Genomic DNA, 15,411 nt, shown 5'->3' on the forward strand with positions numbered 1-15,411 from the left:
ATGTAACGGCGATAACAGCCGAGTCCTGTGTCAGCTCTCCTATTAGCGTGGAGGACACTGAGAGCAGAAACCGTGATGCAGTGAGCCTTCTGCCCACAACACTTCGTGCCCTGTATGGCACAGAGTGGGTCAAACACATCAGATGAGATAGGAAGAAAAGTGGAGAATGCACTTTGCTGGTGCTGAGATGAACTGGGCCAATTCTCATGGGGCACCTCCCATGCCAGGATTTGGGATGTAAGCTCATCTCAAATGTAGCCCATCAAAGCTATTAAATAACATAGTACTTTTTGGACTATTCCTCCAACCTACTTCTTATGCTGGTTGTGTGAATTATACCATTAGGGTGGTGAGCTATGTAGTCACGGTCACAGTGTGTACTCAAAGTACCTTAAAACGAGTTCAGAGTTAATTATTTACTTCACAAGACACTGCTTGTCCCATGTTTGCCCACGTACACATCTTATTTTGTAAGCTTTACACGCTTCTAATGCATGTTACTGAAAACAAGTTCTTGAGTCACAGTTTAAGGTTCCATTTAAAGCCACTCAATGGAAGATAGGTTAAGTGTACTTCATAATTTTGATCATTGAACCAGGAACATTATGTACCAGTTTTTAAGGCTAGTTTCATTTAGGAAAAAAGATAATTATATATCTATTACGTCTTACATTTTTGTAAATTCCATTGCCACTGGAGGAAACCATGGACCAGAGTAACCTAAAGATGCATGTTGGTATATATTTTAATTCCAGGTAACATTGGAATGTGGTATGTGTTGGGGGTGGGATCTTCCTGTTTGTTTTTGTCAAGCTAATATTATTTACAAAAACCATCCCAAGGACTGAGAGCAAAATGTATTGATTATCTTTATGTGGACCATGACAAATTGATTTTTTAATTGAGACTTCCTATTTTCAGGGAGTTCAGTGTCTCGTAGGAAAATAGTAAATTTTGAAAAACTTTAAAATGTTCATGCCACTGATCATGGGACCACATGATTGTTGATAAGGGAAGGTAGGACAGGAGGAAGTTCAAGAATTCTCAGGGCAGTCCAAAGCAGAAGGAAAGGGTGGCATTTCATTTATGTATCTGACTGCCATCTTAACTGTGTTCTCTGTGAATGGCCTCCAACAATATGGAGATAATTCAAAACAAGCATTAACAAGATATAGACAGTGTTTTGGAGAAGAAGCAAAATAGGGTCTCTGTTTCGAAAACACACTGTCTTATGTTTAGTGTTTAATAAGTTCCTAATCTGCTATAATAACATCTTCACAGCTGATAAACTGCATCATATAATAAAAGTAACAATAGTTTATGGAACTTTTAAAGGTATAATTTGTACAGAATTTTAATTATGGAGCCTAGAACTCTGAGCCACCAGGAGAAACCTATTTAATGTATCTTCTATGTAGCGACGCACTTCCAAGCAGTTCCTTGTTGTTCTGGTCTGGTTGGTCGCTCTGTTTTTCCTGTGTAATGGTTTTTGTTGTTGTTCCTTGGTTCAACAAATGCTTTTAAATGCCTGCTTATGTGCCCGTTACCATCCTAGGTGCTGGGAAAACTCTGCATCCTCAAAGTTATATCCCCACTCATGGAAATGATTTTTTATTTCCCTTTGATTTTGTGAGTTCTTCTCTTCCAACTGATTTCACCTTCTACCTTTCAGGTGTTTTTCCATTCAATATTTTGAATATTTTTTCAAATTATCAAAAATATTCAATATTTTCAATATTTTTCCATTATTCAGGGCTGCATTAAGCCTCTGTTTAGCTCCATCTCTGTGATAGGTTGTTCTCTGGCCAGCTGCTGTTCTATGGCCTCCTGCCATGAATATCTTACTTTGGTTGGGCTGCTATAACTAAATGCCATAGACTGGACGACTTAAACAACTAATGTTTATTTCTCAAGGTTTTGGAGACTACGGAGTCCAACATCAAGGTGCTGACACATTTGGTTCTTGGTGAGGGCTCTCTTCCTGGCTTGCAGAGGGCTGCCTTCTAGCTGTACCCTCACATGGTTCAAAAAAGTTGTAGTGTCCTTTTTTCTTCTTAAAAGAGCACTAATTCCATCACGGGAGCTCCGCCCTTGTGACTACAACTCAATCTACTTCCCAAAGGCCCCACTTCCTAACACCATCATGTTGGGGGTTAGGACTTTAACATACGCATTTTAGGGGGACACAGTCAGTCCATGATAAACAGTGGTGGTATCAAGATGTAGAGTAAGATCCCGAGAGAGAGAGGGAGACACTACCTAAGGCAAGACTTAGGGAAATGGTAGTACAGTATCGAAACCCACTGGCTATGAATAATGGTGTTGGTGTCTAAACACACATGCCTCAGGATTTCTCTTTTAAACTCTGAGCAGGTTCACTCAGAAAGTCATACCAGGGAAAGTTCTCACGCCATCTTTTGTAATGAGGATGAAAAAATAAAGTGCAGCTATAGATGGTATCAGGGTGGTAAGACTTCGTATTAACAATATGATTTATAATTCTTAGTTCTCAACTCATTCGTAGTTTCTGATGAGTCAAGTTACATGAACTTTTCTCATTGTGTTTTCAGACCATTTTCCTGTGACAGTTATATAAAGAGATGGGTCCATTTTCATGCTGTGAATCCAGTGGGATCTCTGATCCTTCCATCAGGACATAACATTAATCCCTGTGGAATTAAATCTATCATGGAGAGTTTACAATCTGTAAGCTGATATAGTTGGATATCCACAGACCCATTACTATATATACGAAAGAATTGTCAAGATTATTGGGATTTTCATATATTTGGTGCATACTTCTTTCTAGATTACTGTGATTAGTTCCATTGTCATGTATGTGAATTGTACTAAAATTATATATTATGATCTACCCATTGGGGGCATAATTATGGGTACATAGTTAGCCATGGGTAGACTTAGATGGATAGACTAGAACATTTCTGTTGAACGATTTTTGCATGATCAAAATTTCAGTAATAACATGAAAAGGAAAGCTGGGGGCTTAGCACTGTGTTGATTTGTCAGAAGATTACCAAGAGGTTGGTTTTCTCTTATGGTAGAAAGAAACTTACATTTATCTCCTTCCCTTTCAAATTTGTTATTATTCGACAGTAGACAGTATATTTGATCCCGAGCTTTTTAAAGCCTGGCAGCACTGTTTTGTGTTGAATAACTTTAAACTGGGCAGTCAAAGGTTAGAGTTCTTTGGAAGCAGAGGTCAGAGCAAAGGTGGAAATGAGAGTACAATTGGTGGACATCTTGGTTATTGCTGCATACAGATGATTGAACGGTCTCTCTTGACTTTGAAGACTCACATTGATGTTTCTTCTAACAGCATAGACTCACATTGATGTTTATTCTGACAGCGTAAGACTTTAACCTGGTGTGTCTTTTCTTTTTATCTGAGAAGCTGTGCCTGACTGTGGCTGTCTTTCACATACCACGAAAGCCAGTCACCCTTCTAAAATGTTCAATTCAGTGGTTTTTATCATATGCACAAAGTTGTGCAACCATCATCACTATCTTTTCCAGGACAATTTCATCACCCAAAAAAGAAACCCCGTACCCTTTAAGGGTCACCTCCCCCACCCCAATTTCCCTTAGCCCCAGGCAACCATTGATCTCTGTTCTGTGTTAACTGGATTTGCCTGTTACATGTACATTTCACAGAAATGTAATTGTATAATATGTGGCCTCTTGTGTCTGGCTTTTGTTTAACTTATGATGTTTTTGGAGATTTATCCATGTTACAGTGTATCTCAGGACCTCATTTTTATGGCCCAATATTTCATTATGTATAGGTGCCACAATTTGTTCCTCAGTTGATGGACATTTAAGATGGTTTGGCTTTTAGGAATAATGCTGCTATGAACATTCAAGTACAAGTTTTTGTGTGAAAACTTATTTTTAATCCTCCTGTGTATATGCCTAGGAGTGAAGTTGCTTGGTCATGCAATAGTTTTTGAGGAAATGTCAACCTGTTTGTCTAAAGTGGCTGCACCATTTTACCTTCCCACCAGCAGCGTATGAGGTTCCAACTTGCTGCATCCTTGGCAACAGTTGTTGCTGCCCATCCCAGGATCACGATCAGTTAAGTTTGCTTTTGTAATGAGAAGGGTGGGACACAGAAAGTAATAACTAAGCCCGGAGGGTATTAGGCAGGGCCAGGGCTGGTAGAACTCATGTCTCCTGACTCACCGTCACCATTCACTGCAACATTGCATTTCAGGAAAGCTGGGTGAAGAAAAAACACATGAGAAAATAATAATTGGTCTGGAATTACTTATATTCATTTTCCCATTATAAGGAATGGAACAGTTGGTTTCTGTGATCTCTGATGCAGTCCAGTTGTGTGTTTCTAGCCTCAACCTTGCCCTGAACACCAGCATTGAATATCCCGCTCCTGGCTGGACTCTTTCTACTTGGATGCCTACATGGTTGCATCGCAGACTTCCGTGTCCTGAATCAAGCTCCTCATCCCCCGTCCTTCCTTTCTCCATCTCACTAAATGGTTAGCCAGCTGCTCCGGGCAGACCTCCAGAGGCTTTGCTTCTCCCACATTCTCCACATCCAGGCCATCAACAACCTTGTGGGTTCCGCGTTCCACCTGCAGTCGCTCCTGCTGTGGCCACTGCTTTCTTACGCCCCAGACCGAGTACACATGTTTCCCATCTGGACTGGTCACCCGACCATCATCTCTCACCTGGACTTGAGATTGTGCTCGGATCCCCCAGTGGCTTCCTCGCATACCTAGAAAGCAAGCCAGCGTCCTTAAAATATCCCACAGCCACAGACCGCCTGCCGCTTGCAGTTCCAGCATCTTACATTTGCTCTGCTCCACCCACATGGGCTTCTTCGCTGTCCTGTGACGCTGCCAGCACACCCTCTTCAGGTTGTCTGTGCTCGCTCTTCTCTCTGCCCTGAACCCTCTTCCCTCAGTTGTGGGCACGGCCTTTGCGTCTTCACTTCTTCTAAGAATCTACTTAGTCGCCTCATCCAAAGGCGGTCCCTGACTATCATCTCAAAAAAACAGTGTCCCATCACTTTCTATCCTCTTACCTTACTTTATCCCCTTCATCGCATTTTTTACCGTTTAACAAAATGCTCCATATTTATTTGCTTTTGTGTTGCTTTTCCGTATTGTCTACTGGGATGGGAGCCCCGAAACAGCAGGGGCTTGGTCTCTTGAGCTTACTGATATATCTGCATAGCCTGGATCGGTTCTTAGCACAAAACAGGAAGTCAGTAAATTACTGTTAAATGAACAGGTTATTTTATTCTCCCTTTTGGCATCACTCAGTCTTTGCTGCCAACCTATTTTGGGTGAGCTTTAAATTTTTTTTTTACATCTTGCAAAAGACTTCTATATGTACGTATCAATTTGTGTGAATCTCTGTAGCACAGTTTCTTCGTATATAAATTTGCAATAATTCTGGGCAGGTGCTTTGAGACCTCATTTGAGAAATGTTTCCCCCCACCAAGTACCAGAGATTATGATGGTAATATTGTCATTTTTATTACTCAATCTGGTTTTAATACATTATAACAGTATGGACCCTATTAGCCAAGTACACGATAATAGCCTTTTATTACAATACCCTAGGATATACTATTGTAATATTATAATATCTTATTGTGGTTCTAATAAGGATCTCACTTATATATACATAGAGCTCTTGTAGTTTTATAATATCCAAGGATGAGACTCTGCTGTTGAGAATCTTATCTAAAACATGATACCACAATACCAAAAGGGATATTGACAAAATATGTCCACGTATTTGAATTGCACATTCATAGTTTAATTTATTCTTACTGTGCAGCACATTGTTACCTGGAATTCCAGATTGTTCAAGTGCCTTCCAGGCCTCTACTCGCCTGTTTATTCCATTTAATAGAATAGCCAAAAATAAGTAAGGCTGATATTAACTTTGGTGAAGATAATGTTCCAGTGCCTTCCAGTACCCTAAATAATTCAAGAGGATATGATGCTGTGACTGAGAACTTGTGTTCCGCAGTCAGGATTACCTAAGGCTGAGTCTTAACTTTATTTTTATTTTGGAGGTAGGATCTCACTCTGTTGCCCAGGCTGGAGTGCAGTGGCATGATAATGGCTCACTGCAGCCTCAAGCTCCTGAGCTCAGGCTAAGAGCTGGGTTAGTTTTTTATGTTTTTCTATACAGACAGGGGTCTCATTAAGTTGCTCATGCTGGTCTAGAACTCCCGGCCTCAAGCAGTCCTCCCACTTCAAACTCCTAAAGCACTAGGATTACAGGAGTGAGCCACTGCCCCCAGCCATTAACTTTATACCTTAACATGTCACTATGAGACTTTATCTTCCAATATTCAGTGTCCTTACCTGTAAAATGGGTGAATAACTGTAGCTACCCTCTAAGTTTGTGTGAGAATTCAATGAGATGATTCCTATAAAGTACCTGGCACCTAATGAAATGCTCAATAAATGTTAACTGCAATTATTACTATTAAAACATTTGAACACCATGTGTGATGAAATATTCTTTGGCAAAGGGAGGCTGGAATGACTCTCAGGTAAAGAGTAGTAAAAGGGCTATAAGTAGAGCAATAAAATGCAAATGTATGACCTCCGCTTCTTTCCCCAGAGCTGTACATCATTCCATTTGTTGAAAAAGGGAACGGGGCCTACTGCTGAACGCAATATAACAAATATAACACAGAGACCCCCTTAAGGTGCCATATCTGTTTATAGCCTATTTAAAGAACAAAAAATAGATCTTTCTGTGGCACTTAATCTGGCCAGGACACTCACAATACCCGTTAGAATGTGTGCTTATTTCATCGTTACAATAATGGGAGTTCACAAATGTTCTCTGCTCTTTTCACTGAAGCCTCTAGGGGTAGAGGTGAAAGAAAGGAAACAAAATTTAAAATGCTCAGGGTTTGTTTTTAAAGGCAACGACTCGCTCATGAAGAGTTTGAACATACAGGGAGACCAGCTGACTTGAGCTGTCTACACCTTCCAGCTCTGTTCTATTTGCTGCTGTTTAATGTTTTCCTGCCTCCCCAACCGGGCTGCACGCCAGCGGTTCTCAAAATCACGGCACCGCTTGTCTAACAACACCGAACGCTGGGCCCATCCCCAGACGTTCCGATTCAGCGGGTCCAAGGTGGGGCTGGGAATTTGCATCTCTAACGAGTTCCCAGGTGATTGTGATGCCCGTGTCAATGTGCCGGTCAGAAAATCACAGATTGCCAACTGCTGCTGGATGCAATTTGGATCTCCCTAGACGACTTGGCCCAGAGTTGGGCACAGAGTATGCCCTCAATAAGTACTTGTTGGTTCACTGCCTCTGATGACACCGAAATGAAATATAAAGGGAAGATAAAGTATATTAAGGTTCTCATTAGGCGCACTGCCTGATTCTCATTAAGACTGTCCTGATTTCTTTTATGTCTTGGGCATGTGGGCTCAGTGCTAATTTTCATGGCTTCTGTGGTCCCTGAAGTACGAGCTTTTTCATAGACTCCAAGGTTCTCCTCATTTACCCTTTCTTTTCCTAACTCATTTCAGACGGACGCTAATAACAGCCCGCAGAACCCTCAGGACCCATACAGGAATGAGGATTCTCATACCTCCCAAAGAGTTTTTGTAAATCCCATGTCTTTAATCTCATTTCGCTATTTCTCAACACCCTATTAACATAAAGCTTAAGCCCTTGGCTTGTTGCTTTATTTTCTAAAATTTTAAATTTCATCGAAACTGCCTCCACTAAGCTAACATGTGCTTGAGTCACTGGGGAGAAGAAAATTTCCAGAGATGTGATAGAAAACAAATTGGGCTTGTAGAGGAAGGATTGTTCGGAATTATTATATTGTCAGACCCATTGTTTATTTCGCTCACATTTTCCTAGGTCTGAGCGCTGGAGTATTTCTTCACCAGAAAAGAATTTTGGAGGGGCGGGGGAGGTTGTTTTGCACATCCTTTAAACTCTTCCTATTTAAGCATTTTAGAGGAAAATGATGTTTTCCTTCATGAAAACAGATAAAAACAATCTCTAAGTTTCCATTTCCACTGAGTCCTTGCTACTTAGAAGGGAATACAGTCCTATACAAAGATATTAAAGACCTGTAAATATCTTTTCCACTAAATTTCTGAGTATAATTTTAGTGCTTTACTCACAGCCAACCCATGAGTTCAGTTTTGAGATGAGTGTTTTCCAAAGTAGAGTCCCTGGAGGACACTAGGAGGGTGTTCTGTGGATGAAAGGGTCTCTATGGCAAAAAGAACGCAAGCTTAGTGAACTCGGGTTTAAGCAAAATAAACAGGTATCTTTAATTCAGGGCTGTCAGGATCTTTAATATGGCTGTTGTGCATTGTGGGTATGGAAGAGAGCGATTTCTAGAGTCTCTGACCATGGCATCTTCTGATGCTGCTGTTCTGCAGAACAGATTTTGGGAAGTACTGTGTGAAAATCCCTACGTTATAGCATCGTCTTTGATTCCTAAAGAAGCCTCAGAGGTATTAAAGCTGCTCTTTTCTGTGTAGATTCAATAGGCAAAATTTCAACTCCTTTTTGAAGCAAAAAATTTATTTTTAGAAGATTTAAAGTAGTGATGAGATCTTGTTTATTCAGTAGTTCTCTCACTACTGAAGACCTCAGTGCCTTTCCTGAATACTGATTTCAGGCTAAATTTTTCTGGGATATAGACATTTTCATTCTTATGTTGCCTATATTTAGACAAAGTTTTATTTGTCTAATTTACCCATCATGTTACTGTTGCCACATGCACTTCTAGAGTGAAATACTTTGGGACAAACCTGAAGAATTTTTTTCTCTTCTAGATGTCAACTTTCAAAATTATGGAAAAATGAACTAAATATCATAATAAAGATTCACTCATTCATAATTTAAACAAGCCCCTGAAGCCCTCTCTCCAAATGTAAGAATTGTTCCCTGCCAGTTTGTTCTCTTCTCAGGTTCATTGTTTGGCCCACACCTCCTCCCCTCAACACTCCCCAAGGCTGTATTCCAGTTAGTGATACTCTGCCTGCAATGTAGCTTTTCTCAGTCACTAGAAAATGTCAAGAAAGTATAGTTTGAACTGTGGAGGTTATTAATCTCTACGACACTGTCAAAGGAAAGAGGGAGAGTTTTATAGCTGCAGGTTATTAACACTCTTGACAATAGAAAAGTTGACCTTTTTTTCCCCCTTTGCATTTAGGCTCTTGCCTCTGCTTTAAAAACTGGCAGTGAACAGAATATGCATTTTTAGCTTTCTCAGTATTACGTATATAAAAGTAGTGAGAGATGAACCTGACATATACTTGATAATCAGATGGTTGCGTTACTGTACCTAGGGTATTGTAGTTTAACTTTTAATTCCAGGATGGTTATTTGTGACAGTAAATGTTCCCGTGCCACCAATCCTGGTTTTCTGTTTTATCCCACCTCTACTTCCCGTGTAAGGAATATATTGACATCTGGGAAGAGTTAGATCCACCCTTGTTTGACAACACCATTACGCTGGGTAAGATCCACTAAGCTGTGAAAACGCATTCATAAAACACCTAAGGTAGAATCTAAGAACACAGTCTTCCTCTTTTCTTGAGGGGCAATCCAAACTTATAAACTGGATACATTACAGAGCACTGTCATTTTCCATCTCAGCCAATCTGGTTCTTATTCACTGACTGTAATTACAAATGTAGGTGTATGAATTAGTTGGTTAAAAACTCCAAAGTGTGTGTGCACATAAGTGCATTACATGTAAATACTCTGAGTGCAGAATACCTAATTTAAATGAGTGACAGGGAGCACAACATCATTGGAATTGTCAGGGAAACAGAAATTAGGTGTTTTACAGCCCCGTCTTTGTCTCTGGATACTGCATTCATGTATTAGAAGCCAGAGGAGCTTCAAAATATGTACAGAATTGAGTGGGATCTTGGGTGTAACCTATTACCATGAGAAATTGGCAAGAAGGAAATCACTTGTTTTCTGCATGTTCTTATGTAACCTTGAACAAACTGTTCTGTTAAAAAAAAAAAAAGTCTTTTTCCTTGCTTAAAAAAAAAATCAGCTTAGCCTTCCAGATATTTTCAATAGCTGCACTTGTTAGTATGCCATCTTTTTTTTTTTTAAAACTGCCTGTCTTTTTTTCTCCTTACAACTTCCTAAGTTAAGCCTCAAGTGAGAATCTCAGCAAATTGACTTTTAGTAATATTTTAATTATTGAGATTATTACGGTGTGGTCCAGTGTGGTGAATCCTATAGTCGTTTTACTCGTGTATTCTAATGTCAACAGGATTGTGCTAGTTTAGATGCCCTGTTTGCGTCTAATCATTTTATGTCGAAAATAGATGGGGGAGAGGTCAAGGACGTAGTCTGTGAAAACAATGTGAACCGGGACCTCTGATCTTCATTCCTGTTCCCTTTTTCTCCCAACTTATTTGTTCCTATCCCTTTCTTTAGTAAAAAAAAAAAAAAAAAAAAAAAATACTAATTTTTTTTCTCAAAATGTTATTTTGTTTCTGCATCTCCCCTTTTCTGTACTACCTCACGCTTCCGGCACATACTTAGAGAATTTGGACTAGAAAGGGCCATAGAGATATGGTTACTCATAATGACTTGCCTGCCTCCTTGTAGTGGTTATTTTTTTGTTTTTCTTTAAATGGGTTGTATGTGCACTCTGGGTGTTGTGGGGCGGGGAGTGCTAAGTGTGACAGTGCTTACAAAACACACCTTCACAGCTGGGAGGAGGAGAACACAGTGTCATTCATGCATCCTCAGAACATTACCACTGCGGAGGACTGGCAGTGTCCTTCGGGGACCCCGTTGCCCGTGTGCATGCTCAGGGGCACCATAAACACTTGCTGCTGGTTCCCCATGCCACCTGCTGGTTCCACATGCCACCTGTGGCCTGTCAGGTGCTCAGAGGGCCTTCTGGGGCAGGCAGTATTTATGATAAATAGTTTCATCAGGATGTGTGGCTCAGCTGGGCAGCTCCAGCTTTCTTGCTCCCTCTGGGTTTCCTGACAAACTGGCCTCCTGCTAAGGGCAGGGAACTGAATGGCACTGAGAAGAGTTAATGAGCCACAGAAAATGTGGCGTTCTAAGAAGAGAACAGTATTTGTGTCCCGAACTCTTTGTCCGTGAAGTGTTCAGAGAGAAGTCCAGTGTAATGGGCTTAAAAACATCCTGCTTGCACTGATCTCTTTTAAATGGTGAAAGAAAATGCAACATTTAAAAATCATTAAACTACATTGTCTGGACATTATTTGGGCTTGGGTTTCAGATACTTCTGGGACATGCGTGAGATGAGTGACACTGCTGCAGAAGTCATGGCGAGCAGAAGACATTTGTATTATTGGAACCTGGCCTGGCTTGAACATGGAGTGTCGGTTCTAATTTGGTTCTGCTGGACTGTAGCAGCTCCTGCTGCTGGTGGGGAGCCAGTCATCTTGGATTCATAGCTACGTGCAGACACTTTCTGTGCATTCTTACTCTTTAATATTGGGTTGAGCACTTAGCTCTGTAGGGCCTGTTTCCGTGATCTCCCATCAGTCCCTGCCTTTCCATTCCAACATCACCACTCTGTCTCCAGATGATCGTGCAGCCTCCTGTCTTCTCTCTGTCACCAATCCCTTCCACCCTGCATTGCCAGACAGATCTTAAGGCCTGTCTGATGGGGTTGTGCCTCTTCTCACAATACCCAGGGGCTGCCCTTCCCTGCCTTGCATGCAGAGCTCTGCAGATTATGCTTGAGCACAGGCCCTCTCCTCCCCTACCATTCACTCACTCGCCCACTGGGCCTCTTGTTTGCCTGCCTCCCTGCTTTCCTCCTGAATCCTCCTCCATAAAGCTTCCACTGTGAGGAAAGGAGTGATAATAATAAAACTCCGAACCCTGAGAAAACCTCGCCTATTTTCCAAGACCAGTTCTATTTTTAGCAGCTAGATCAAGATGCATGAAAGCTGACAGATCTAATGTTGCCTTCTTGAAAGCATGGGGACACTTCTTCGCTGTGGGAAGGGCCAGGTCTGGGAGGGGTAAGGATTGTGAGCTCAATCTCTATAGTCTTTGGTTTCTAGGTTTTCTTAGAAAGATAACCTTTCTTGAAAAGGTTAGCTTTTTAGTTCTTTCTTGGAAGAAAAGTTGTATTGGAGCCAGACAGTGATACAGATGCTATCTTGAAAACATCTTTTACTGCATTTCACTTGAAATGCTTCCTTACATGTTAAATATTGAAAACAACTAAAACATAGAGTTCTCTTTTGATTATCCACCTATGTATTATTTATGGAAAATATTTTAAATCTGGCAGTATCCTTAGCCTATATTCCTTTGAGTTTGCCTCTCTTGCTCGTCTGGCTTACATAAACTGTACCAACAACCTAAACAGCCCATGTTTATAAAACTCAGCCTGATGCCTGCCCGATCAAGTATTGCATTGGATTTATTCATTTACAGTATGTTGAACACCTAAGTGCCAGGCACCACAATGTGCTAAGGTTTCATAACAGATACGGTGACTGCCTCCATGGAACTCCAATTTGAGAGGGAGACAGATGTTAATCAGATTATCACACAAAGATACAATTACAAGCTAGTTTAAAATGTATGCACAGGGGACCCGATTTGACTGGTGGTAAAGCTGGTCAAGGAAGGCTTCACTGAAGATGAAACGTTTGAGCTTCATATAAAATACCTTCACATTGCCCACTATGTAGGATTAACCATACAATCTAATGATCTTAACTGCTTCCTAGACTTTGGCAGGTTTTTGTTTTTTTGTGTGTGTATGTATTGTTAATACTTTTTTTTTTTTTTTTTTGGAGACAGGGTCTCTGTGGCCCAGGCTGGAGTGCGGTGGAGCAATGTTGGCTCACTGCAACCTCCAACCTCCACCTACCAGGCTGAAGCAATCCTCCCACCTCAGCCTCCCAAGTGGCTGGGGCTACAGGTGTGCAATGCCACGCTGGCTAATTAGGTATTTTACAGTCTTGTCATGAGCCCCAAAATGCCTAATTAGCTGGGCATGGTGTTAGCCATGTTGTCTAGGCTGGTCTTGAATTCCTGGGCTCAAGCAATCTGCTCATCTCGGCCTCCCAAAGTGTGGGGATTACAGCCATGAGCCACCATTCTAGGCTGTTGTTCTTAATACTTTCTTTTGCTAAATTGTGTCTGTAGAACATTTAGGGAAGTCTGAGAAGACAACCAGTAGAGATCATTACCTTTTTTCAAAGACATTGCCAAAGTTAGTTCAGATAATTCATTTTTTTAGTTACTATGATTAAACCTTGCTTGATGCAGACACCTGAGATTGAAGCTTCTTTATGCTGTTACTGACCTGTAGGTTGTTTGGGCTCAGATGCTGATGCTTGTTTCCTTAGATGATCATTGTTGCACGGTCCTTGGGTGATGTCCTGTGGGTTATCAGATGAACTTTTGTCCTGTTCAGAACCAAGCAGTTCCGTATTGAAAAATGAAAAGCTAACTGCAATTAGGTAAACTATACCTTTCTTTACATCCTTCAATAGTTTTGTGTTTAGTTGGCACTTCTGCCGATCCTTAACACATTTCTCTGACGGTAACCTTGTATGATGGTATCCTTTACAACGAAAGGTCTTTTTTGTTCATTATCTTGTTTGATCCAAGCAGTAACTCTGCAAGTAGATGGCCCCATTATTATGGTGGAATGTACAGGATGATACCATATCCTGGGAAGAGGAAGGAAGTGGATTCAGGCACTGGAACCAGTAAATCATGTAGTAGAGGGCTTCTCAGGTCAAAATGTTATTTTCCTACAATATCACACAACTGGTCCATACTAACTTTTCAGAGCTTCTTGTCCTTAGAGTGAAATGTCATGTTATTCTATTTAACTTCCATTTTGATTACAGCCTGAGTTTTTTTTTTAAATGTTTTCTTCTTTAATCTTGTAGTATTGGTTCATTACTTTAAAATTTATTTTCTGGAAAACCAAGGTTATAGCAAAGTAAGTTGTACTCACAGGGTAAAGGAGACCTGCAGAAGAATCCAATTCATCTATGCCTTTGAATTATCAACCATAAACACTGTAATTATGTGACACATTCTCTGGACATTTGTTTTATTATTATTACAGTCAGTTTCCCAACAAAATGTCACATAACAGCATTCTTTTGTTCCTTGGATCAACTGTTAATTAGTTTTCCCTCAATAGACCATATCTTCAGTGAAGTAGACAGAATACTCTGATCTCTCTCAGTATTTTCTAGTGCATGAATCCTCTGCTTCCTCTTGCCATTGGTCCTTTCACCTGAGAGGCATAGCTAAGGAATCAAAATGCATTCAAACACAGTCATAATCAGTTTCAAGTATGTGTTGTGGATGGATTAGGGGGAAATACTTTTTCTCTTTAACTCTTCCATTTTTAGGCTAAAAGAATTTTTTGCATCAACAAATTTGTTATTCTTGTTCCAAGAAACACACATTTTTTAAAAAAAAAGACTATTTGGGCATTCGTAGGCATACTCTGATATTTCTTTTTTTTTTTTTTTTTTTTGAGACAGAGTCTTGCTCTGTTGCCCAGGCTGGAGTGCAGTGGCGTGATCTCCACTCACTGCAAGCTCCGCCTTCCGGGTTCACACCATTCTCCTGCCTCAGCCTCCCGAGTAGCTGGGACTACAGGCGCCCACCACCATGCCCGGCTAATTTTTTGTATTTTTAGTAGAGATGGGGTTTCACCATGTTAGCCAGGACGGTCTCAATCTCCTGACCTCGTGATCCACCCGCCTCGGCCTCCCAAAGTGCTGGGATTACAGGTGTGAGCCACCGCACCCGGCCTGATATTTCTTGAATGTACTTTTGTCAGTTCTGTTTATCGTTTTTATTAATGATATTATTACCAATAATAAAACTATATTTGCTAATTTTGGAAAATACCCCATTTTGATACTATCTAAACATAGCCAAAATGAATTTTGATGTATAATTTCCAGTATCTTTAGTAAGCAACACATAATTCAACTTACAGCCTCAAGCTGTGACAAGTGAGATGTTGTTCATAAAAGAGTAAAAAGCCTGGCATATAGGAAGTGCAGAATAAATGCTCTACGATTATTACTACAAAGCTGATGCCTGTTTGTATAGTGGTAATTACAGGATACACAGCCGTGTCTTTTATTCCATTATCTTTCCTTCACCAAAGCTTTGATCTTTCATCTTGCCCTTATTGTATCATCCCATAGTTACTGTGGTCTCACGAGGAAGAGGCGGTTGATATTTATGGCAATGGTTCCTAGACTTGGAGGAACATATGTAAGGTGCTAAGATTTTATTTTGGCAAGGATATTTTTAAAAAATCTATCATCAGTTTTCATCATAATTTTTTAAAGAAGAAAACAACTGTGTATGTGTGTTTGTGTGTGTGTGTGTGTGTGTGTGT

The 15,411-nt window shown here is 40.5% G+C and overlaps 1 protein-coding gene across 60 annotated transcripts in view, besides 1 other annotated feature; it reads left to right on the plus strand.

Moving 5' to 3' along the window:
- CELF2 (CUGBP Elav-like family member 2) overlaps positions 1 to 15,411 on the plus strand; it is an 874,126-nt gene that overhangs the window by 576,554 nt on the left and 282,161 nt on the right. The window lies entirely within an intron of this gene.
- Positions 10,348 to 10,848: an enhancer, noted in NCBI's record as "H3K4me1 hESC enhancer chr10:11091414-11091914 (GRCh37/hg19 assembly coordinates)". NCBI's record gives its function as "activates a minimal SCP1, AML or CMV promoter by ChIP-STARR-seq in naive H9 embryonic stem cells {active_cell/tissue: H9 hESC(naive)}" and the evidence as "EXISTENCE:reporter gene assay evidence [ECO:0000049][PMID:30033119]".

Source organism: Homo sapiens, chromosome 10 (assembly GCF_000001405.40).
Source record: "Homo sapiens chromosome 10, GRCh38.p14 Primary Assembly".
Lineage (NCBI taxonomy): Eukaryota > Metazoa > Chordata > Mammalia > Primates > Hominidae > Homo > Homo sapiens.